Genomic DNA, 25,278 nt, shown 5'->3' with positions numbered 1-25,278 from the left:
GTCATAATATGAGAAAAACAAAACGGTTATCGGGATGCTGTGCAGAACGGGGACATATTTAGAGGTTACAACGGGATCGTAATGACTTCCTGTTGCATAGCTTGATTGAGAAGAAGCGCTTCCGGCGGTCTTAGATCACTAATCAACAAACCAGCTTTCGGGGTCTGACGCGATCCTTGCCTCAGGCCTCTCGAGGTCCAGACAGCCGCCCAGCCCGCTCTGCGACGCAGCAGTGAATAGTGTGGTACCTCCTTGTCTCGGTTCAGGTCCAGACCTCCCCGTCTTCCGGCTGCCCTGAACGTCAGGCGACCTCAGGACCCTGTGATTGGCGCCTGCGCCGGCGGACCGTGACCGAGGAAACCCCTGGAGGGACTTGGGCATTCCTTGGGCTCCGTGCCTGTTCTTCGTGCTCCTTTCGGTAAAGTAAGGGAAGAGGGCGACTTTTTTGTTATTTCGTTCATTCATTTATTTTTTTTCTGAAATTATTAAGGCAGAATAGTTAAGTGGTTAAGAGAGCAGACTCTGGAGACTGTCGATTTTTGACCTCGCCATTTGTGACATTGGGCAAGACACTAGGCCTCAGCCCTCACTCTGAAAAATGGGGATAAGATTATTAGCCTCATAGGGTTGTTGGAAGAATTGAATCAAACAATAAAGGCCAGCCAGACCGGTGGCTCATGCCTGTAATCCCAACATTTTGGGAGGCTGAGGCGGGAGGATTGCTTGAGCCCAGGAGTTCCAGAGGAGGCTGGGCAACATGGCGAGACCCTGTCTCGCCAAAAAAAAAAAAAAAAAAGAAAAAATCCAGGTTTGATGGTGCGCGCCTGTAGTCCCAGCTACTCCAGAGGCTGAGGTGGGAGGATTGCTTGGTCCCAGGAGGTTGAGGCTGCAGTGAACCATGACTGCACCACTGCACTCCAGCCTGGGCTACAGAGTGAAACCCTGTCTCAAAAAAGAAACAAACAAAAAAGGTGAAGTCTGGCATATAGTAAACATTCAACAAATGCCAGATATTTCTGTGTGCCTGGCCCTGTAACAAGACCACAGCCATAAGAAATAGACGGGCAGAAAAAATCTATTGCGATAAGTACTAATTAAAATCCAAGGATAACTGCTGTGACATAGACTTGCAAAGCACTGTGAGAATAGAGAAAGGGAGATGCACTGGTGAAGTGACGGACGGTGGGGACTTATGCTGTACTTAAAAATGAATATGAGTCTGCCAGGGATGTGCAAGGTTGGCAGAGCATTTCTGGCAGAGTTCACAGCTGAAAGTGTCAATTGTGGAAATGTACAGCATTCTCAAGAAACTGAGTAGTATAATGTTGTTAGAACAAAGGTAGTCATTTCACCCAGGAAGCTCCTCCTTTGTGCTTCCAGTACCCCAGGTCCATATACCTCTAGAACAGTACTTACCATGTTTCATATTGAAATATTCTGCTTCTGTTTCTCTTCCTCACTTCAGGGCAAGGATCTCACATTATCAGTCTTTGACCGACACAGAATGCCTGGCATTTGATAAATGTTTGTTGAACTTGAAGAGACATATGGACAATGAATCTGCAAAGGTGAGTTGAAACCAGATTGTGAATTTTGTTGAATGGTAAGCCAAGGAATTCTGACTTTTTCCAATAGGCAATGGGAAGCCATTTGATTTAAGTTTTAAAAAGAGTAAGTCTAGCAGCAGTGTAGAGAATAGATGACATACAAAGAGAGATTGGAGGAAGGGATACCAGTTAGAAGGCAGCAGAAATCTCTCACGTTCTATATGTCAAAAGTTGAAAGCATAATGCCATTTAGATTAATGGTTCATAAATTTTTCCACCAGGATCATGCCTAAGACACACAGAGTAAGAACCACTTCTTATTATCTTTAACCCTACTAGTTTTTCTCCTATTGATCCAGCACAGATGTATCAAGATACCTTATCATGCCTTGCTTATTGTTCAGGATTGAGCGTGATGGTAGTTCTGGTAATGAGTTAGTGAGTGAGATGGGAAATAGGGATACTAGAGCTCCAGATGCTGTTGTAGCTATTGGTCCACTAATGACCCAAATTCTACCCTGTGGTTCAGTGTAGTAGGAATTGTCATAGTATGACAATAACCAGCATCTAACAGTTACATTTCTCTTAATTTATTTAGGGAGAACACCTTTGGTCCTACAGTTTTGCTGACACTGACATTTTTCTAAGTGGTCACAAATAGCCTACTTTTTACATAAATAACTGGCTAGACCTCGTATTTTTCACTACAGAAGCCTATAATCTAAAGTTGCCAGGATTTAAACACATTACTTTTAGGTTATTGTCTACATTTATCCTGAGACCTCTTCTCTTCTTATTCCAAAATGTTGAGATACTGGGGAGAGATACCAATATCATCAAGCCAGACCAACAGAAGTTCCTTCGATTTGCTCCCACGGGAGTTCCGTCTGGTGGAAGTCCATGACCCACCCCTGCACCAACCCTCAGCCAACAAGCCGAAGCCCCCCACTATGCTGGACATCCCCTCAGAGCCATGTAGTCTCACCATCCATACGATTCAGTTGATTCAGCACAACCGACGTCTTCGCAACCTTATTGCCACAGCTCAGGCCCAGAATCAGCAGCAGACAGAAGGTGTAAAAACTGAAGAGAGTGAACCTCTTCCCTCGTGCCCTGGGTCACCTCCTCTCCCTGATGACCTCCTGCCTTTAGATTGTAAGAATCCCAATGCACCATTCCAGATCCGGCACAGTGACCCAGAGAGTGACTTTTATCGGTAAGGCAAGGCTTTGCTGTATCTTACTTTTCTCAAGTCATCTTCCCAACAACCCTGTTAAGCCTATAATAGCATTTCCATTTTCATGCGAGGAAACTGAGGATAAGAGTAATTGACTTGGCCAAGGTTTCTCCAGGTAATTAGTGGGATATCTAAGTTTTGAATGCCAGTCTTCAGAATTCAGGGTCTGTATTTTTTAATTTTTTGAGTGCTTACTATGTGCCAAGCACTTTACTAGGAGCAGGGTAATACACTGGTATGTAAAAAAGGCCATGGCCTCATAGTTCTTAGGATCTAGTCTTTCTATTTAATATAAAAAAAAATTATGGGTTTAGCTCGTTGTCTTCAAATTGGGATTCATGGACTTATTCTGGTATTTTTAGGAATCCGCAAGTCTACACAAGAATCTTTAAATTGTGTGTTTTCATTTTGATAACATAGTTCAAGAAATAATAATATAAGCTGAGCACAGTGGTTCATGCCTGTAACCCCAAGACTTTGGGAAGCCACGGTGGGTGGATCACTTGAGGCCAGGAGTTCAAAATCAACCTGGCCAACATGGCGAAACCCCATCTGTACTAAAAATACAAAAATTAGTCAGGTGTAGTGGCGCACATCTGTAGTCCCAGCTACTCGGGAGGCTGAGGCACGAGAATCACTTGAACCCAGGGGAGGCAGAGATTGCAGATCACTCCACTGCACTCCAGCCTGGGTGACTGAGTGAGACCCTGTCTGGAAAAAAAAAAAAAGAAATAATAATATAAAAATGTTATTGATCCCTGCTACTCAATATCTGGTCCAAGATCTGCAGCATCAACATCACCTGGCAGTTTTTTAGATATGCAGAATCTCAGGCCTCACCCAGTCCTGCTGAATCAGAATCTGCATTATAACAAGATCTCCAGGAGATTTGTATGTGCATTTAAGTTTGAGAAGCTCTGCTCCACATCCTCTGAACGTGACTGCCTTATAACCTAGAGCTGCTACTAGATGTCAGTGTGCAAGTTGTATTTAATGCCAATTACTTTTTTATTTTCATTTTGAAATTTGCCAAACCTACAGAAATGTGTAATAGTCAACAAACATCCAAATACCTTCACCATGACTCACTAATGTTTAACATTTTGCCACATTTACTTTCTCACATATGTGTGTGTATACACATATATACACACATATACAAACATACATATATGCATACTTGTATATGCACACATTTTTTCCCCCATTTTAAAGTAAGTTGCAGACATCACCATATTTCACCCCTAAATTCCTCAGCATGCATATCCTAAGAATAAGGAAATTTTCCTGCATAATCATAATACCATTACCAAAGTAAATGAACATTAAGTACCATTTAATAAGTTCATATTCACATTCTTCCAATTATCTTTTGTAAGTATATTTACAAAATATCTTTTGTAAATGTCTTTTCCCTCGAATCCAGGATCTAACAAAGATTCATGCATTGTACCTGGTTGTTATGCCTCTTTAGAGTCTTTTATGAGTTCAGGTCGCTTGTAGAATGTCCCAATTACTGGATTTGCTGATTATTTCCTCAAGATTAGATTCAGATTAAATATGTTCGGCAAGAATACTACAGAAGTGATATTATATGTTATTTATTACATCTACCTGTTGCTGGTAATACTATTTTAGTGGTTCCCAAACTAATGAGAAAAGTACAGAAATAGACTAAATACACAGGGGTTGCATTGCAGTTGGGCCAGGTGAAGGCCAGATTATATCAAGGTCCATTGTAATCAAAGGTTCTGAAGTCACTGGAATAATGAAAAGGGGAGGCATAACTGTGTTATTACATGCACAGCATATGCTAGCATAGACACGCCCAACTCAAAAAACTTGCTCTGTGGTGATCAATACTGTATTCACATATTGAGGGCAATTTAATTTCAACAATATAATGTTATCTATCATATTAAATTGATGCTGTTTATTCATTTTTAGTTTTGTATCAAATTTATATAGTAAGAGCCATGACCATCAAAAGTTTGTACCTGGTTTTATTTTATACATATTTAGGAAACTGTATAACAAAAATAATTTGCATCAGTTATGGGGGCACCAAAAAATTACTTTCCTTTGAAAGAGGTCCAGATATTATTCTAGGAAAGTGATATTGGTTTAGTTGTCTCTGTTTATTAGGTACTTATGAGGCCTTTAGCTTTTGGCCCAGAGACACTGGCCATGGAAATGATGAAGATAGTAAATGAAAAGTTACTTGGCAATTAGTTATCTTATTGTCAAACTATTATGTAAACTGCAATAGTTGCTATTGAACAGGTCAGAGTTTAGTGGGTGGATAACCACTCAGGCACTTTTGTACAGTGCGTGATGACACATGCCAAGTACGAACCAAGGAAAAATGATTTTCTGTGCTCTATTTTATTTTTATTGGTAAAATAAATTCCTTTGTCAGGGGTAGGCAGAAGCCAGTAGGAAATTTCAAGAGACAGGTAAATTATTAAAAGCTTCTTAAGTTATTTTTAGATCAAATAGCTTTCTTAATTTTTTTCTTGGAAAATTAAGATTTCTGCAGTAGTGATTAGGGGCAAAATGGTGTATTATGCAGGATACGGTTTCTGGAGTCAGAAGCTTTACCACTTACTAATTATATGTAAACAAATTTTGGCAAGTCAGCCCTTCTAAACCTGTTTCCTCTCCTGGCAAATAGAAATAATAATAATACAGACCCTACCCATTGCACAACACAGGATAGGATGAAAATGCTTTGTAAGCTATATATGTTTTAAATTGCTTTTATAAAATTGAGTTGACTTCCCTGTTTTGAAATGGTCCCTTGTAACTTTATAAGAATCTAAGAATCTTAAACTCCTGGGAACTGTGAAGAATCTCTTTATTGGAACTGTGAATTTCTAAAAGTTTGTATTAATATATTGCCCAGCATGTATGAAAACTAGGTTATGGTAAAATAATTAGAGCATCATTGAGCAGTGTCTGGGCTATACTGTTAAACTTAATCCTAAAAGTGATCAAAATTGAACAGTTGCTAGAAGGAAACTTTCTTTTCACTAGATATCCTTTTGGATTGTGTATTATAGACATGTATTGCCTATTCAAACTATGTCTTTGGAGGAGCTCAAAGATATGACCATGGGTTGCTAAGACATGCCCAGATAGCAGCAGGATGAAACTGAGCTATGTAACTTGGATGGAATTTCCCTGGAAAGCTAGGCCAGTGGCTTGACTGGAATTGTAAAACTCCTGGGGAAGACAGGAGGGGTCACCCCTTTGCAAGAACATTAATAACACCACCGTATCTCCACTTTCAGTGGGAAAGGGGAACCTGTGACTGAACTCAGCTGGCACTCCTGTCGGCAGCTCCTCTACCAGGCAGTGGCCACAATCCTGGCCCACGCGGGCTTTGACTGTGCTAATGAGAGTGTCCTGGAGACCCTAACTGATGTGGCACATGAGTATTGCCTTAAGTTTACCAAGTTGCTGCGTTTTGCTGTGGACCGGGAGGCCCGGCTGGGACAGACTCCTTTTCCTGATGTGATGGAGCAGGTATTCCATGAAGTGGGTATTGGCAGTGTGCTCTCCCTCCAGAAGTTCTGGCAGCACCGCATCAAGGACTATCACAGTTACATGCTACAGGTGAGGCGACCCTGTTGAAAAGTGGGCACAGATGTCTGTGCAATCTCGGAGTGTTCAGCAGGATCCCACAACACTTGGTCTAGAGTGCAGAGCACAGAGTCTTGGAACAGAGTGAACTTAACATACTTTTATGATGGCCCTAGCGATGTTCCTGGCCAAATACCATGGGTCTCCTTTAGTCAGTGAATGGCCACATTCACTGATACTTCCTCTGGAAGAAACTATCCACAAGTATATGGAATCTGAGAGAATGCAGTTAGTCTGATTTTATTCAACAAGTATTTATTGAGTGCCTGTTGAGAGTCGAGCATTGTGGGATTCAGCAGTTACTAAGTTACCTGAGTTTACATTGTTTTTGAAGGGAGACAAACACAAGTCAATAAATAACAATCAAAACAATTTCAGGAGCTGGGCATGATGGCACATGCCTGTAATCCCAGCTACTTGGGAAGCTGAGGTGGGAGGATTGCTTGAGGCCAGGAGTTCAAGACCAGCCTGGACAATATAGTGAGACCCCATCTCTACAGAAAATTAAAAAATAAAAATTAGCTGGACATGGTAGCTCATGCCTGTGGTCTCAGCTACTTGGGAGTGTGAGGTGGGAAGGTCACTTGAGACCAGGAAGTTAAGGCTGCTGTGAGCCATGATTGTGCCATTGCACTCCAACCTGGGTGACAGAGCAAGACCCTGTCTGAAAAAAAAAAAAAGAGAACACAGACCTACTGACAATCCTCCTGCCTCAGCCTCTCAAGCAGCTAATATAATGGTTTGACTGGAATTGTAATATATATATCTAATATAGCTGCTTGGGAGGCTGAGGTGGGAGGATTGTTTGAGGCCAGAAGTTTAAGACCAGCCTGGGCAACATAGCAAGACCCTGTCTCTAAGCACATACACAAAAAAATACAATTTTGGATAATGTTAAGTGCTATGAAAAAAACAGAGTAAAATGATATTGCCTGGAGGATGGGTTGGTGGGGGGTGATGATTTTGCTTGGAACCAGAAATATCTAATCTCTTCAGCCCTTGTGCTCTTAAGTCATTTGTTCACTGTTTCAGTTTCTGCAGGTCTAAAATATGATTAGGAATTTTTAACACCCAAGAAAAAAGTCTTTGCTAAGTGATCCAGATTTCCCACACCATTGATTATTCACCTAGGATACATATGTCAACTTTTTTTTCCCTTTTTTTAGACAGGGTTGCCTGGGCTGGAGTGCAGTGGCACAATCACAGCTCACTACAAGCGATCCTTCCACCTCAGCCTTCCAAGTAGCTGAGACCACAGATGTGAACCACCATGCCCAGCTTTTTTTTTTTTTTGGTAGAGATGGGGTCTCACTAGATACTGCCCAAGCTGGTCTCAGACTCCGAGGCTCAAGTTGTCCTCCCACCTTGGCCTCCCAAAGTACTGGGATGACAGGTGTGAATGACCGTGCCCAGCCTACTGTTAATTTTTATAGCCAAAAAAATGTAATCTTTTGTCCCAGTTCTAACACATTTTTTTACCTTTATGTAACTTTTAATTAATGACATACACATTCTCTGCCAAACCAATTTTCTTTACATATCTCTATCACTCATAAATGCAAACTCAGCACCTTAAACAAATCCCTCCCATTGGCAGTGAATGTTTTAAAATTCTGTTATTCATGTTCTGTTGGCTTTTCCATGGGACGTCACAAGCTGACTATCCAACTTGCTTTTAACATTTCCTTGGAAAATTGACTCTTGCTTGCCAACAGATTAGTAAGCAACTCTCTGAAGAATATGAAAGGATTGTCAATCCTGAGAAGGCCACAGAGGACGCTAAACCTGTGAAGATCAAGGAGGAACCTGTGAGCGACATCACTTTTCCTGTCAGTGAGGAGCTGGAGGCTGACCTTGCTTCTGGAGACCAGTCACTGCCTATGGGAGTGCTTGGGGCTCAGAGCGAACGCTTCCCATCTAACCTGGAGGTTGAAGCTTCACCACAGGCTTCAAGTAAGACAAATAAACTTACTCACTTTGATTCTGGGAGATCTGCCAATTTCAGTACTTTTTGCTTTTTGGAATCAAGCTCAAGAGGTAGAAGAACAAAAGCAGCAGTGGGCAGAATGGAAAGTCCTAAAACGAATACAGTTTCACCTATCTAGAGATCCCAGCATTCTTCTCTTTCTAATTAGTGAAGAGAGGATTAGCACAGCTTTACAGGCATTCTTTAAAATAATCCCTAGTTAAGATGTAGATGCAATGTGTTGTCACGTTGATTACCAAGGCTGATTCAGCTGATCCAGCTGGTTGGGAAGATATCCCCTTCCTCCTTTAGTATTTTATTTTTAGTATTCTGTATTGGTCCTTCCTGATGCTTGTACTTCATTGAATAAGACAGCTGCCAGATAGATGGGGGAGTGTTAATTGCTCAAGGATGTTCTCAGAGTTTGGCTTCCCTGCTAGAGTATTCTAACAAACTGAAGATGAAAGACATTGAAATAGGGCTTCCGGCTGGGCGCAGTGGCTCACGCCTGTAATCTCAGCACTTTGGGAGGCTGAGGCGGGCGAATCACGAGGTCAGGAGATCGAGAACATCCTGGCTAACACAGTGAAATCCTGTCTCTACTAAAAATACAAAAAATATGCTGGGCGTGGTGGTGGGCACCCGTAGTCCCAGCTACTCAGGAGGCTGAGGCAGGAGAATGGCATGAACCCAGGAGGCGGAGCTTGCAGTGAGCCGAGATTGCACCACTGCACTCCAGCCTGGGCAACAGAGCAAGACTCCGTCTCAAAAAAAAAGAAATAGGGCTTCCCAGTTAGAGGTAGCTGGCTTCTTTTTCCAGACTCTGTGATTACCTTAGGAGCCAGGACAACTGACTGGTTACGTGTCAGTTAGGTTGCAAATTAGTCTGGACACTCAGTTGTTTACAAGTATAAATTGTCATCAATGCACAAATGACTCAAATAGCAAATCCTCAAATGTGGTCTAAATGGAATTAGGTCATACTTTTAAAAGTGTTGGGCAGAGAGCCTTTCACTATGGAAGAATAACCATAAGAGAACAGCATTGCTAGAATACATAGAGAGATGCGAGGGCCAAAGAGAAATTGTTGCGGACTTCGGGACCATGTCTCTTCAAAGAAGACCAGGTAGAGAACTGCTGTTAGCATTATGTAGTGACCATTAACTTTTCATAATGCAAGAGATGACCAGAGACCCAAACAAAAGGCAGGAAAACAAGATGGCCCCATAAAAGAAGGAAGGAAGGACAGGCAAACTAAACAACTGAACAAGTCCTGTGGTTGTGCATGTCTTTGGGCTGTGAGACAGGGGATCTTTCCACCTGCCTAGTTTCACTTCCCTGGTTTAGGGGAAATGGGGGTGGGTGAGGTAGAGGAAAGAAAGGTAGAAGAAATGGAAAAGAAGATAATCAGAGCTGGTAATTTTTTGGGATGGTTAACTTTTTGAAGCAGAGAGTAACAACCATATTCTCCAGCCAAGTACAGAATCAGAGTGAAAACTGAGCTCAAAGCATATTAGTTGGTTCTGAGTGATATATTTACTCTTTGTTCTACACTTGGCTACACATATACACTTGGTGTATGTCCATCTTTCCTCTGTTTCTAGGTGCAGAGGTAAATGCTTCTCCTCTTTGGAATCTGGCCCATGTGAAAATGGAGCCTCAAGAAAGTGAAGAAGGCAATGTCTCTGGGCATGGTGTGCTGGGCAGTGATGTCTTCGAGGAGCCTATGTCAGGCATGAGTGAAGCTGGGATTCCTCAGAGCCCTGATGACTCAGATAGCAGCTATGGTTCCCACTCCACTGACAGCCTCATGGGGTCCTCCCCTGTTTTCAACCAGCGCTGCAAGAAGAGGATGAGGAAAATATAAAAGGAAAAGAGGGAGATGTTTTGTCCAGACCTACTAGACCCAACAGAAAAGGTTTTTGTATTAGAATCTGTTTCCTTAAAAATTGATTTGACTCCTGTTCTTAAACACAAGTGGTTTTTCCTAATTCCAGAGGAACTGGACGTCACCAAACAAGGTTGCATTTTACTTTTGCATCCAGTTTTTATAGTTTTCCACAACCAAGCCACCCTTCACAGATAAAATATGATGCTGGCATGGCAATCAGACCAAAGCACTGTCCCCAATTGTTGTCTTAACTATGACTAGACATGTTATACAGCCATTTATCTTGTACAACTGAGAAGAATCATACTTTGACCTACCTTGTAGAGATGTGAGGATTTAGATGTTTGCTAACTTCAAAACTGTGCTTGAATAGACTAATAATATATGCTCATATCAGATGTCAGTTTTCATTTAACTTGATTCATTTTTGGCTCAGGTCATTGGGAACCCATTACTAATACCTAACAGGAAATAGCTAAACACAACACACCTTATCTATTAGTCACCTTCTTAAAACTGTTTTTGCTACTTTTGAAGTGTCTTATTTATAAGATCAGAGGTCTGACACCTTTTTTGCTTAGACAGCTCTCTATCTCATCCATTTATTTTCTTCTCTAGACTTACTCCATCTCTCCTCATCCTTTTGCCTTTGTTATTTCTGCTCGGACTCACATACTTTCACCATATACATATTTTCAATTGTTTCTTTCCTTTTCTCCTTTGTGAGCAAAGCAAACAAGTACTGTCCAAGGACAGCCTTGTGCATATTTCATTTGTTGCATTTGCTTGGTCATCAGAGGACAGCAGTCCATTAAGCACACTTTGCTGCTTCTACTGTAAAGGCAGCCTTTAAAACATAGCAATATGCACCTTTCAACTTTACATCATGTCCTGAACAACATCACTGTGGTTACTCATCCATCAGACTATCTGTATATATAAGTACTGAATCAGTATTTATTAAGTAAATGATGTAGCACTGTAGTGATTAGGAATCATTAGCAAATGTGTTGCTTCATGCCTTGGTGATGGATGCCAGCATGTTAAACTGCTGAAGTTTGATTTTCTGATGCAAAATATATCTTGTAAAATTTAGACCACTCCTTTAATGCAGACCAAAATAAGGCACAGCTTTAATTCATTATTGAATGCCTTAAATGTCCCAGGTATTGAGAATAAATGAATATGATACAAATGAGGTTATAGTTTAACATATAATTTTAAATTTGCCAATTGTAACTCTTTAGCACATTTCTCTAAACCCTTTCTGTCACAGTCTTTTTTTTAATTTATTTATTTATTTATTTATTTTTGAGATGGAGTCTTGCTCTGTCACCCAGGCTGGAGTGCAATGGTGCAATTTCGACTCACTGCAACCTCTGCCTCCCAGGTTCAAGCGATTCTCCTGCCTCAGCCACCTGAGTAGCTGGGATTACACGCACATGCCACCACACCCAGCTAATTTTTGCATTTTTAGTAGAGATGAGGTTTCACCGTGTTGGCCAGGCTGGTCTCAAAACTCCTGACCTCAAGTGATCTGCCCGCCTCGGGCTCCCAAAGTGCTGGGATTACAGGCGTGAGCCACTGCACCTGGCCTCTGTTGCAGTCTTATCTTCATTTTCCTTTGTTTATAATGAAAGTGGCGATTAGGCAGTTAGTTTCCATAAAGTGGCCGTATGGGAATTTAGTTCATTCATCCAGCAAACATTGAGTACCAATTATTTGCTAGGTCCTGTGCAAGGAATACAAAAATGATTAAGACTTCTTCCTTACCCTTTTGGAGCTTGAAGCATAAGGAAGACAAGTTATTCTGTAAGGAAGATAAAGCATTCAAAAGTACTACAGAGAAAAACCAAGTATGCTTGAGTTTTGCGAATGTTCTCCTCTTAAAGAATAGCTTCAAATTTTGAGACCAGTGGTTCCCACTAAGTATAGAACATTAAAATTAATACTTTATAATAAAACACTTTTATTGCTGCAGAATGTTAAACTGCATAACAGGCACCAGATGGTCAAGACGAGGGAAATATGAGAAGGCAAATGATGTGAGGATTAGTATCTTGAGATTCACCTGGTCTGGAATTATGTCATAGGCTACTATGCATCAGAATCACATGGAGGGCTTTCTAAAACAGACTGCTCAGCCCACCCCCAGGGTTTCTGAGTTCATAGGTTATAAGAGGTAAGTTGAACAATTCCCCAGATGATGCTGATGCTCCTGGTCCACAATGTGAGAACCACTAAGTTGGAGTACTGACTCATAGAGATAAAATTCTTTGAAAGAAATGTACTGTTTTAAGATACTGTAAAATGTGGAGGCAGGGCAAACGTTTATAAGGGCTGTTATGTATGAAATGTGCCTCTGACCCAAATCCACGGACTTTGCGAAAATCACCAAGGAGACTTTGCATTAAGTTCAGAGTACAATACAAACTGGGCCTAGCTCTGTATTTAGTCAGTATGTGCACGTGGGAAACTTTAGTAAAATATCACCTCCTTATTGAGACAAGTTTGGACATCTGGCCTTAAGCCTCTGTTGAACAGGAGAAGTGAAGCTGTTTGCAATTATATAATTTTCTAATTTGAAATCATGACAAGCAGTCTTAGAACAAAGTTAAAATTAAAAAGTCTTTATCCAAGTCACCAATGAAACAGGATTCTGATTCATTAATCATGTCTTGCCCACTTTTTTCAACAAACCTGACGTCCTATAATGAGCTATACAGTGTGAGGCATATTTCATAGCAACGTTGGTTGATTGCCAAGGAGACTCTGCCACCGTTCTGGATAAGCTCATGTTTCCCTTTTCCTTGGCTGCTAATAGAAGGGCAACTTACAGTGCAGGGTCAAGAGCAAGAAGCTGGGGGAGTAGAGGCTATACATCTAGCCTAATAATAGAGATCTGAGGTGGTCACCAGGAGACTACGTTCTTTTGATTCCATTCCTCAGCAGCAAAAGTACTTGAGTTCAAATGATAAAACTTGAAGTTGTAGGCTTGGAAGAGTATCAGCTCAGTATATCCTTCCTTGCATAAATACAAGGGAAAGGCCAAGGAATAATCAGCATTAACCTGCCAGGTCCAAGGGTCTTCTATCCCTGACTTCATCTGAGTCACAAGATTTCTCTAATAAGAGAAACTTTGCTACTCTGAGGAAAATTATCCCTTATGGGAGCCCCCAGTTCAGAGGTAAGAACAGTTCTTTCACGTGGAGGTCCAAAATTCTGGACTTCTAGAAACAAGTGAAGTGTGCTAAAGTCTCCTATTTATTGTTTCTCTTCCAGTATTGTGCCATCGATTCTTGCATAAAATTCTGGAATGCTGGCTCTTCATGGCTTTCCTCTGTAACTGCAAGGAAAAAAGGGCAATTCTTTTTCAACTCTTTCATTAGACAAACTGATTAGAGCCCGTCACCCATCCATCAGAAAACAGTACATTACTTCTAAGAAACTTAAGTACTCACTTCCCTCAAAAAGGAAATGTCTCCTAGAAGCATGCTCTATCATGCTGCCCAAAATGTAGTTTCTTTATAAGTAGAAAGAATACCTCCCTCATAGTAGCTAAAATAAGGTCCCACTTGTAGGTATTTTTAACCAAGAGAAATGAAAACATACGTCTACACAAAGATCTATTTGGAAACGTTTATAGTTGCTTTACTCATAATAGCTAAAATCTACCCAAATATCAGTCCACTGGGGAATGGATAAACAAACTGTGGAACATCCACAATAATGGAATATCACTCAGCAATAAAAAAGAACATACTGATACATGCAACAACATGGAGAGACTACACTACTGAGTCAAAAAAGTCAAATGCAAAAGGCTAAATACTGTGATTCTATTTCTATGGCATTCTGGAAAAGGCAAGATCAAAGGAACAGAAATCAGTCAGTGGTTGCCAGGCACTAGGTGTTCAGGATGGGGACTGAAAAAAAAGGGGCATGAGGAAGTTTTGGGGGGTGAGGGAAGTGCTCTACATTTCAACTGTGATTGTGGTTACAAGAAAGTATATATTTATTAAAGCTCATCAAACTATATACTCAAAAAGTGAGTTTCACTGTTGGTAAACTACATCTTAAAAAATCTGATTAAATAAGGCAATTTACATGTAAAACCCAGCCTAAAGAATAAGGAGATTTGCTCTTGGCCATAGCTAAGACCTAAATCGTATGGTGGTTTTCGTGTTTTTTTGTTTGTTTGTTTGTTTGTTTTTTGAGATCAAGTTTCACTCTTGTTACCGAGGCCTGAGTGCAATGGTGAGCTCTCAGTTCACTGCAGCCTCCGCCTCCCAGGTTCAAGCAGTCCTCCTGCCTCAGCCTCCCAAGTAGCTGGGATTACAGGTGCCTGCCACCAAGCCCAGCTAATTTTTTGTACTTGTAGTAGAGATGGGGTTTCACCATGTTGGTCAGGCTGGTCTTGAACTCCTGGCCTCAGGTGATCCGCCCACCTTGGCTCTCAAAGTGCTGGGATTACAGACGTGAGCCACCGTGCCCGGCCTATGGTTGTTTCAAGAATCAGATTCTGGCAGGGCATGGTGGCTCATGCCTGTAATCCCAGCACTTTGGGAGGCCGAGATGGGCGGATCACTTGAGGCCAGGAGTTCGAGACCAGCCTGGCCAACATGGCGAAACCCCGTCTCTACTAAAAATATAAAAAATTAACCAGCTGTGATGGCATGTGCCTGTGGTCCCAGCTACTCTGGAGGCTGAAGTGGGAGAATCACTTGAACCCGGGAGGCAGCGGTTGCAGTCAGCTGAGATCGTGCCACTGCACTCCAGCCTGGGCAATGAAGCAAAACTCTGTCTCAAAAAAATAATAGTAACAATTAGATTCTGCGCACAGTCCATAAAACTATGCCAAGTGGAATTTGGGTTTCCAGAGCCATTCTATCCTTACTGTTTTAGTCCATATAACCTTATGTATTATTTGTGTTTTTTGTTTTTGAGATGGTCTTACTCTGTCACCCAGCCTGGAGTTCTGTGGCACAGTCATAGCTCATAATAGCCTCAAACTTCTGGGCTCAAGCAACCCACCCACCTCAGCCTCCCAAACAGCTTGAACTACAGGTGTGAGTAACCATGCCCAGCTATTTTTTTCTTTTTTGTAGAGAGTGGGACTAACTATGTTGCCCAGGCTTGTCCAGAACTCCTGGCCTCAAGCAATCCTCCTGACTTGGCCTCCCAAAGCAGTGGGATTACAGGCATGAGCCACCACACCCAGCCCTTACATATTCTTAAAACAAAATACTAATAACAACAAACAAAAGTCCTGGATCCCTCAAACCAAGTTAGGACCTAAAGATAAGAAGACACAAGACCAACGAAAGGCCTGTAATCAGCTCAGTATTAACCATCCAGTAGGCAGGACAGGAACTCTCAATATAGGAAACTCTTTTCTGGTGCTGTATCCTTTATCCACTATTACTGGCTACACGCTTAAAGCAAGAAACTCCTGGGCAAACAATGTGAGGATAAGCAGATGCTCTGTTGCCACGGGCCACCTCAGCCACCTCTCACCTCTGTGGTCAATGTCATCAGTATCGCTGTCTGCTTCCTCATCCTCTTCATCCAAGGTTCCTCGAGTCAGGATCAAATCAGAAGGGTGCAGCACAGGAGATAAGCTGTCTACAGTGAAAACACCTATCAGTGATATGCCTCCTCAAAAAGGTGATCTTGAATCACTAAGTAACTATGATCATAAACTGGCAGGATGAAAGTGCTCATGATACATATAAACGCAGGATCTTACCTCTTCTAAATGTATTGTTAATACCACTTAACATTTCTATAATAGCTTAGTTCACAAAGTGCTTTCATAAGGCAAATAGCCCTAGGAGTCCCATTTTTTTAAGCTGAGGGAAATAATTTTCAAGAAGCTTGTCTTACTAGTAGCATCATTCTTTTTTACTGGCTCACAGCTTGGAAGGGGTGATGGTTTTTCCTATGAAAGCTAACAACATTTGAGCAGATCCAGTGTGCTGGTGAGTCACAGTGAAAGTGTGGAGTGCTAAGGAAGCCTCCTGGTGGAAATGTAAGTTCAGAGAAGGTCTGCAGAAAATACAGGGTGAAATGTTATCAAGGAGCCAGGGTATTATTTAAGAAGAGGAGGGAGGGGAAAAATAGAAAATCAAATACACTAATAGAAGTAAAATTCCCTATTCAGAAAAACTAGTGAGGGCTGAGCTCCAGTAATCAGAGAGAAGTCTAATCAAGTCACTACTGCCATGGGAGGACATAGTCACTCTCTCTTCAGGAGCCTATGAGGCTTGCGAGAGCTCAGCTAGGGAATAAGGGTGGCCAGAGACAGCAACATCAACTGGCACAAATCTCAAGGGGCCTGTGGGCCTGAAAAAGGAGGATGACAGGACATGCTGACAGTAAATGCTTCATTCTGTGCCTAACAATTATGCAACTATACTTGTGACTTTCCTCAAATGATTTACTTAAACTCTCCCAACCTTCAACAGGTTAGCTGACTACAGCAGACCCTTTGCAGCAGTAGTTTTAACATTGACTTCACATATTCAGAAGTGATTCTAAAGGACTGTGGCACATAGAAATGTATTTTGCTGAGCTGTACAACAGGATGGCACAAGTGAGTACACTTAACTGGTAAACCCAGTCCGTTACTAGCTTTGCTGTTCTCTACTAGATATAGAGCAATAACTTTCATGAACAGAAGCATCACTCCTTTAAGAAAGATGTCCCAGAAAAAAAAAATGCTAGTGTTGCTGATGAGAAGAAAAAATAAATGTACAATTTATTACAATAAATAAATAAATGGAGCTTTTCTTTTAAGTACAGTCAATTTGGTTGCAGGATTCCACTAAGCTGCAATAGACTTGCATCTGAATCTTGAGGGCAGTCCCTCAATATACAGGGGTGGGGGTGGAAGGTGGGCTGTAAATGAAAACTAACCTAAAAACCCCTGCAGAGCCAATGATAAAACTAAAAAAAAATTTTTAATTCAGTAAAGTAGCAGGATAAAAGATGAATATACAGAAATCAAAAGCCTTCATACATACAAACATAAACCAGTTATAAGATGTAACGGTCCAGAAAATCCCATTTTCAACAGTAATGAAGAAGGTTAAATACTTAGAATAAATTTCAAGCTGGGGCTGGGCATGGTGGCTCATGCCTGTAATCCCAGCACTTTGGGAGGCTGAAATGGGCAGATCACCTGAGGTCAGGAGTTCAAGACCAGCCTGGCCAACATGGCAAAACCCTGTCTCTACTAAAAATGCAAAAATTAGCTGGGCGTGGTGGCATGTGCCTGTAGTCCCAGCTACACAGGAGGCTGAGGCACAACAATCGCTTGAACCCGGGAGGCGGAGGTTGCAGTGAGCCGAGATCGCGCCATTGCACTCCAGCCTAGGTGACAGAGCAAGACTCTGCCTCAAAAATAAATACATACATACATAAATTTCAAGCTGGGTACAGTGGTTCACACCTGTAATCCCAGTACTTTGGGTGGCTGAGGTGGGCAGATCACTTGAGCCCAGGAGTTCGAGACCAGCCTGGGCAACACGGCAAAACCTCATCTCCACTAAAAATACAAAATTTAGCCCGGCATGGTGGCAGGCACCTCTAGTTCCAGCTACTTGGGAGGCTGAGGCAGGAGAATAGCTTGAACCCAGGAGGCAGAGGCTGCAGTGAGCCAAGATCACACCACTGCACTCCAGTTGGGGTGACAGAGCAAGACCCTGTCTCAAAACAAATACATAAAGATGATTTGTTTTAAAAAAAAAAAATTAAAAAGAAACAGGCAAAAACTCTTGGTCAAAAAGGTTGGCTAAAATAACAAAAACATTTTAAAAAGAAATAAGAAAAACCTATATATGGAAAACTGGAAACACTCCTGAAAGACACAAGTAGACCTGACAAATACAAAGACACTCTGTGGTCTTGGGTAGCAAGACTGAACATCATAGAGATGTCACTTCTCCCTAAATTAATTATGAATATAATGTAATCCCAACTAAAATACCAAAAAGCTTTTTTAAGGAACTAGATAAAGTTGATACTCAGTTCATATGGAAGAACATGTAAGGACAGCCAAATAAAAATTAGGAGGAGAATCTGATCTAGCAGATATTGAAACATAATTACATAATTAAAACAACATGGTACAGGCATAAAAGTAAGGAGTCCTTGCTCACCAAAGCAAGTTAAAAGAAAAAAAAAATGGGCTGGGGATGGTGGCTTATGCCTATGATCCCAACACCTTGGGAGGCCAAGACAGGAGGACTGCCTGAGGCCAAGAGTTCAAGACCAGCCTGGGCAACATGGTGAGACCTCGTCTCTATTAAAAATTTCCTTAAAACTAGCCAGACGTGGTGGCACACACCTGTAGATCTAGCTACTCTGGAGGCTGAGACAGGGGGAATGCTTGAGCCCAGTAGTTCGAGGCTGCAGGGAGCTATGATTGCGCCACTGCACTCCAGCCTGGGTGACAGAGTGAGAAACTATCTCAAAAAAAATAAATAAATAAACAGTCCAGTGAAATAATATAGAAGTATACTCAAGTATGCATGGAACTTTACTACATTTAGAGATGAGGTCTGAGGCTGGTCTGGAACATTATACACGTAGCATCTCAAATCGCTGTTACAAGCCAGGTGCAGTGGCATACACCTATCCAAACTAGTTGGCAGGCTGAGATGGAAAAATCGCTTGAGCCCAGGAGGTCCAGACCAGCCTCAGACCTCATCTGTAAAAAAAAAAAAAAAAAAAACACTACCAAAAAAAAAACTCACTAAGGCAAAGGCAGACTTTTAAATAAATCATACAGATACAACTATTTATGAAAAAAATAACACCGACTTATATACCTTATACTATAGCCAGGAATAAACTCTAAATTAATCGGGGATCTCAATTTAGAAAATAAAACCAGACAAATCTATAAAAAAAAATAGGTGAATTCCTCTTTAACATAGGTATATATAGAGGCTTCCTAACTGTGACTTAAAATCCCAGATGCAATAAAAGATAGATCAATTTGACTACATCAAAACAAAATAAGAACTTTTGCATGGCAAAATAACACCGTGAACAAAGTCAAAGGATAACTGATAGGGAGAAAATATTAAACATTTGCAACATATAATCACAGAAAAATTGATATTCCTATTATATCAATGGATATTAAAACTAATGGGTGAACATTAGAAAACTAAAAGGATATTTATAGTCTCAAAGCATCACCCCACAAAATTCTTATTACAAACAGAAAAACAGCCATATTTAAAAATAGTAATTTTTGTTGTTGTTGTTTTTAAGATGGAGGGAGTCTCACTCTGTCACCCAGGCTGGAGTGCAGTGGCGCGATCTTTGCTCACTGCAACTTCTGCCTCCCGGGTTCAAGAGACTCTCCAGCCTCAGCGAGTAGCTGGAATTACAGACATGCACGACCACGCCCAGCTAATTTTTTGTATTTTTAGGAGAGATGGGGTTTCACCATGTTGGCCAGGCTGGTCTCGAATTCCTGACCTCAAGTGATCCACCCGCCTCGGCCTCCCAAAATGCTGGGATTACAGGCGTGAGCCACTGCGCCCGGCCTAAAAATAGTAATTCTTTATGAAAAACGTAGCATACACCACTTTATAAAAATACTCAAAGTTAACATCACCAGTAATGGGACAAATCAACATCACGTGCCTCCCAATGTGATTCCTTGAAAAAACACAATTCAAAAATTAGTCACCTGAATCAAATCATGAGGAAACATGAGACAAACCTAAACTGAAGGATGCTCTATAAAATAACTATCCTACATGCTTAAAAAATGTCAGTCATGAAATACAAAGTCAGACTAAGGCACTGTTCCAGATTCTAAAGGAGTATAAGGCATGTGAGAATTAAATACAATGCACATCCAGATTTTCTCCTGCTATCATGGGGAAATGGCTACATCTGAATAAGATCTATATGTTAGCTAATATTATAGTATTATGTCAATGTTAATTTCCTGATTTCTGATAACTGCACTGAGGTTATATAAAATTATATCCTTGTTTTTAGGAAAAAGACACTGAATTATTCAAGGTAAAAGAGTATTATATCTGTAACTTACTCAAATGATTCAGGAAAAATATATATTTATATAACATATAAAGTCATATATAGATAAAGAATAAAGTAAACATGGTAGAATGTTAACATTTTGGGAATCTGATAGAATAATTATGGCAATTATTTGTATTATTCATGTAACTTCTGTAAATCTGAAATTAAGGTCAAACTGTAAAAAAAAAAAAATTTTTTTTAATTATAAAAAAAATTGAGGAGGGTTAAAAGTGTTAGAAACAAACAAAAAAAACCACCACAGCACACATCAAGTATATTGCCAAAGTAAAGCAAAAACTTCCTGAAAGAGGAACCCAAAGTGGTAGAGCTGTATATAATTTCAAATTTGCCTTTCCAAATCCTTTATTTTTTAATATATATGTATGCATATGTATGTGTGTGTGTGTGTGTGTGTGTGTGTGTGTGTGTGTATATATATATATATAAAACCACATTTCCTTTATCTTTTTCTCTTTCTCTCTCTCATATATAAACAGAATCCTGCTGATAGAAATAAGTGTAACCGGCCAGGCACAGTGGCTCATGCCTGTAATCCCAGCATTTTGGGAGGCCCAGGTGGGTGGATCATCTGAGGTCAGGAGTTCGAGACCAGCCTGACCAACATGGAAAAAACCCCATCTCTACTAAAAATACAAAATTAGCCGGGTGTGGTGGCACATGCCTGTAATCCCAGCTACTCAGGAAGGCTGAGGCAGGAGAACTGCTTGAACCTGGGAGGTGGAGGTTGTGGTGAGCCGAGACTCCAGCCTGGGCAACAAGAGTGAAACTCCGTCTCAAAAATAAATAAATAAATAAAAGAAAGAAGTGTAACCTTTTTTTAGTTCCTAACACCAAGAAACCCTCCAATACCTTTGGCAGTCCCTGCATCCAAGGCTACAGAACCCATATCTTTTCGAAGGCGTTCCAGTTGTTCTCTCTGCTGTTGGCTCTCTGCGTTGGCCTGTATATACAGAGAAAAATGTCATCATATTCAAAAAGGAGTCCCAAATTAGATGCCAGACTTCTCAGTGGAGATGAAGAATTATACAAATACTAGAGGCTACATAAAAACTGATGCAGATAAGGGACGTCTGGTATAGGGACAGAAACACTAAGTAGCGTGGGCCTGGGTTACTGCAGAAGTTTAGACTGGAGGGCTCTGCAGACTGATTTAGAGGGTTCAGAAACGGAACACAAAAAGGTTTCAAAAGAACCCTCAATTCTAAAGTGTTGAGTTCAGTCCAGGGTGGATCCCCTGCTCTGTTAATTGAACTGGAACATTTAAACTGGCTAGGCAAAATGCCTACATAGAAAGCATTACTCTTTATTCATCCCCAGCCTACAAAATGAAAAAACAAAAGATACAATAAACTTTATTATATGGGGGAAAAAAAACACAAAAACCTGAAGTAGACATAGCAGGAAGGCTCAGAGACAAAGGATCCAATGAGCCTAAGGAAGCAGGACACTCGATCATTTGGGATAAGAGAAGGCTGGGCATGGTGGCACCTGCCTGTAATCCTAGCACTACAGGAGGCCCAGCAGGGAGGACTGCAGGAGCTCAGGAATTTGAGACCAGCCTGGGCAACACGGTGAGACCTTGTCTATACAAAAAATTTACAAAATAAAATTAGCCAGGCATGTGGTACATACATGTTGTCCTAGCTACTCGGGTGGCTGAGATGGGAGGATCGCTTAAGCCCAAAAGGTCGAGGCTGCAGTGAGCCGCGATCGTGCCACTGCACTCTGGCATGGGTGACAGAGTGAGACCCTTTCTCAACAACAAGAAAAGGAGTTGTGAAGCACCACTACACTCTTATACAAAATTCTACAACTAGCTTTAAATTGACCTCTGAAAGGGAAGAAACATTAAGGAGACTTTCCGCACCCAGACAACATACATACAAATTTACAAATTTAAATTAACAAGTATTTAGAAGATACACTGAAATTTCATTAGCCACTTGTACCTCAATAAAGCTACAAAAAAAACTTTTTTAATTAAATAAAAGATACATTAATAACCAAAACAAAAGCACTTATGTCATCAAGATTGAGCTGGGTTTTTTTAATGGCCCTTTTAAAATATACAAACAGCCTCCCTTCTTACCAGTGATTTTTTCAGACGTTCATATTCAGGACGATACTCCCTGTAAAGAGAAACACTTTCTAAATTCCTTTGCTTAATCCTCTATCCTACTGACTCTCCACATCCCCTTATCTCTATTTTCCTAAGACTGACAATAATAAAACATCTGACTTCATTCAACATCAGATGTAACAAATCTTAGTCACTGACAGAGTCTACCCAATGGAATTAAAAGCCAAGGTGCCCGCTCCCACCTTGGAACCAGGAGACACAATCCTGACTGCTGGGCTGGAAAGATTAATATTGGTGAGAACATGACTGATGAACTCACCATTCATTTGAGATAAAAGGGTGAGATAAGTAAAAGATAAGCCTGTTGAGCTCAGGACGTGCAACATACAATTATGTGCTTTACTTGAACAACAACAGTGAAAGGATACAGAAAAGAGTCTATCCTAAGGTTTTGATAACACCCTTGTGTCTAATGAATCAAAATCAAAATAACATGTCTGAAAACCAAAATATGGTTGTTAGGATCTTGCAAAATATGAAGCCAAAGACACATGACACTAATAAGCCGGCTATCATGCCACAGGCCTAAGGAAAGTGCACAGGGCTCTGACTCCACTTTTCTTTACTTGAATTCCAGTATTAACAATGACAATAGTTATAACATTTATTATAAAATGTGCTTACTATATGTCAGCAATTGTGATAAGTGCTGTATACGTTTTCTCAATCTTCACAACAACCTTAGTGCCAAATCCAGCCCACTGCCTGTTTTCATAAATGTTTTTCTGTAACACTAGCCACGCCCATTAATTTACAAATTGTCTGAGGACGCTTTTGTCCTACAATGGCAGACGTGAGCAGTTGCAACAGAGACTATATGACCCACAAAGCCTGAGCTACCTACTGTTTAGCTCTTTACAGAAAAGTCTGATGATCCCTGCTCTTAATCACTCAATACAATGAAGATTTATACTTCTATTTAAAAAAAACAAAATTTAAAGGGAACTTGTCACCCCTAAGTGTGGTCTGATTCAATACACATATGCAAACCAAATATAATACATCCATCATGAAAATGTAATGCTTTTCCTGGAAAAACTGCTTTCATATCAGAATTGTAGGTTATTAAGAATGTCATCAATAGAATTTTCCTTTATCCTCACCTTTCATATTCTTCGGCAGCACTGGTAACTTGCACAAAGAGTTCATCTAATCCAGTACCCAGAACAGCAGAGACACCCACCACCTGCCAAAAAGCATCATAAATGCCACTAAAGAAACCATTGTATATTTTTTAATGAAGTACATTAACTTGTTTAAATGTCATAAAATCTTAGTAAGAGTGGTTTATATTTTGAGAAGTCTTTGGCAAAAAGCCAGGCTAAAAAAGAACAAAACAGCACACCCAGTCAAAAGTCACAGAAATAAGTCCATGGAAAATAAAAAATTGAAAAAGAAAGATATGGCCTGAGTGCAGTGGCACATGCCTATACTACCAGTACTTTGGGAGGCTGAGGCAGGAGGTGCACTTGAGGCCAAGCATTCAAGACTGGCCTGGGGAACATAGCGAGACCCCAGTCTCTACAAAATATAAAAAATTAGCTGGGTATGGTATACCGCACACGCCTATAGTCTTAGCTGCTTGGTAAGCTGAGGCAGGAGGATCCCTTGAGACCACGAGGTCAAGGCTGCAGTGAGCTGTGATCCTGTCACTACACTCTGGCCTGGGTAAAACAAAGCAAGATCCTCTCTCCAAAGGGAAAAAAGAAAAAAAAAAGATAATTAGGACTGAACAATTAACAGGACTTATTATCTATTCCCTAACAAACCAAACCAAATCACTTTCTGCTTTGTCTATGTCTTTCCTTGGGCAATTAACCCATTCTGCCTTTGCTTACATAAATCTTACCCTTCTTCAAAGCATACCTCTAATGCTACATCCTCCAAAATCTGTCATTTTGATCTGCCGCCTCACAATCATCAGGCCCAACTTCCAATCTTTCTTAAGGTACTTACTACAATATATCATATGTTTTAATTCTGTGTGTAGCCTTCTCTCCCAAATAGACTATAAACTCTGAAGCTGGGGTCCCTATCTTATTCTTCTTGTACACTCCACAATTTTTAATAAGCAATGCTTTAAAAGTTACTTTTCAGTAGGTAATAAGCTTCCTTTCTCAGCCAGGTTCAAAGCCAATCCTATGGGTTAACAGATTATCTGGAGAGGCTGTCAGTGTGAGCAGGAGAGAAAATTTACCCTGAGTGAGCTGTAAAACTCATCTAACACCAGGCTCATTGAACGAGTCAGGTTACTGACGTATGTAGTCTCTTGATTCAAGGCATCTTGGAAAGCCTCAAAATCCTGCATCCATTCCACTGCAAAGCTGTGGTCAATGATGTCAGTCTGTACCAGAGAGAAGTCAATTATGAGCAACCAGAGCCAACAAACGCAAAATTTATTCTTTTAATTAAGTGTTGACAGCAAAGAACATATCATCCATATATTTTCTTTCTCTGCTTCTATTTCCCCTCCATTGCAACAAGCCACAAAGAACCACAATCATTGTGTAGTCAGTGTAATTAAATGAAGATGTGTATTCTCTTGGTTGACCCTCCACTATCCACTGCCAAGTACCAGGACCAGAATGGACACCAGCACATTCTAGGCTCTGAAGTCAAAAGGTCTCTTGCATCCTAGCCATCAACCAACAGAGAAGTTTAGAATTTTTTAATTGCCACTTCCAGTAGACTAGTTGTCCCTCTCGTAATTACACAATCTTGACTCTGAGGGATAATCTACATACTGTGGTTGAAGTGCTA

The 25,278-nt window shown here is 40.7% G+C and overlaps 2 protein-coding genes and 1 non-coding gene across 16 annotated transcripts in view, besides 1 other annotated feature; 2 read left to right on the top strand and 1 right to left on the bottom strand.

Annotated features, from left to right (window-relative positions):
• Window positions 1-132: 132 nt before the first annotated feature.
• Window positions 133-21,179, top strand: SUPT7L (SPT7 like, STAGA complex subunit gamma). 10 transcript variants are annotated; one of them, XR_939750.4, is made up of 8 exons: window positions 133-418; window positions 1,466-1,568; window positions 2,359-2,763; window positions 6,078-6,402; window positions 8,145-8,382; window positions 10,000-10,313; window positions 16,754-16,881; window positions 20,855-21,179. XR_939750.4 is itself a non-coding variant. In NM_014860.3 (6 exons), exons 2-6 carry the CDS (start codon window positions 1,555-1,557, stop codon window positions 10,260-10,262), a joined length of 1,245 nt encoding a protein of 414 aa, NP_055675.1. In that variant the 5' UTR covers window positions 133-418; window positions 1,466-1,554; the 3' UTR covers window positions 10,263-12,938. The 10 variants fall into 10 exon arrangements, 6 of the variants coding, with proteins under 6 accessions (NP_055675.1, NP_001269660.1, NP_001269659.1 ...); XR_007085617.1 differs by having other exon boundaries at window positions 133-423; XR_007085611.1 differs by lacking the exon at window positions 16,754-16,881 and having other exon boundaries at window positions 133-423.
• Window positions 9,941-11,140: an enhancer, noted in NCBI's record as "CDK7 strongly-dependent group 2 enhancer chr2:27875474-27876673 (GRCh37/hg19 assembly coordinates)". NCBI's record gives its function as "activates an origin of replication core promoter dependent on BRD2, BRD4, P300/CBP, MED14 and CDK7 cofactors, with strong dependence on CDK7, by STARR-seq in HCT116 cells {active_cell/tissue: HCT116}" and the evidence as "EXISTENCE:reporter gene assay evidence [ECO:0000049][PMID:35650434]".
• Window positions 12,236-25,278, bottom strand: part of GPN1 (GPN-loop GTPase 1) — a 23,265-nt gene continuing 10,222 nt past the window's right edge. For all 5 annotated transcript variants that reach the window (NR_026735.2, NM_001145047.2, NM_001145048.2 and 2 more), the window contains 6 exons: window positions 24,716-24,862; window positions 23,622-23,704; window positions 22,468-22,507; window positions 21,228-21,318; window positions 15,804-15,911; window positions 12,236-13,632 (listed from right to left, as the gene is read on the bottom strand). Coding sequence is in view for 4 of the 5 variants with exons in the window: in NM_001145047.2 (NP_001138519.1) it covers window positions 13,547-13,632; window positions 15,804-15,911; window positions 21,228-21,318; window positions 22,468-22,507; window positions 23,622-23,704; window positions 24,716-24,862 (555 nt within the window). In the remaining variant the exon portion in view is untranslated. The remainder of the gene's footprint in view (window positions 13,633-15,803; window positions 15,912-21,227; window positions 21,319-22,467; window positions 22,508-23,621; window positions 23,705-24,715; window positions 24,863-25,278) is intronic.
• On the top strand, window positions 21,578-21,704 carry LOC124906143 (small nucleolar RNA SNORA36 family). Its single transcript, XR_007088715.1, has one exon. It is a non-coding gene; the product is annotated as a small nucleolar RNA SNORA36 family (small nucleolar RNA).

Source organism: Homo sapiens, chromosome 2 (genome assembly GCF_000001405.40).
Source record: "Homo sapiens chromosome 2, GRCh38.p14 Primary Assembly".
NCBI classification, from domain to species: Eukaryota; Metazoa; Chordata; class Mammalia; order Primates; family Hominidae; genus Homo; species Homo sapiens.
Note: the sequence above shows the minus strand (reverse complement) of the source record. Positions and strands in the feature narration are given on the sequence as shown.

Coding starts and splice junctions, on each gene's coding strand:
- SUPT7L (NM_014860.3), top strand. Junction 2,764..6,077: donor CCAGAGAGTGACTTTTATCG/GTAAGGCAAGGC, acceptor CTCCACTTTCAG/TGGGAAAGGGGAACCTGTGA. Junction 6,403..8,144: donor ATCACAGTTACATGCTACAG/GTGAGGCGACCC, acceptor GCTTGCCAACAG/ATTAGTAAGCAACTCTCTGA.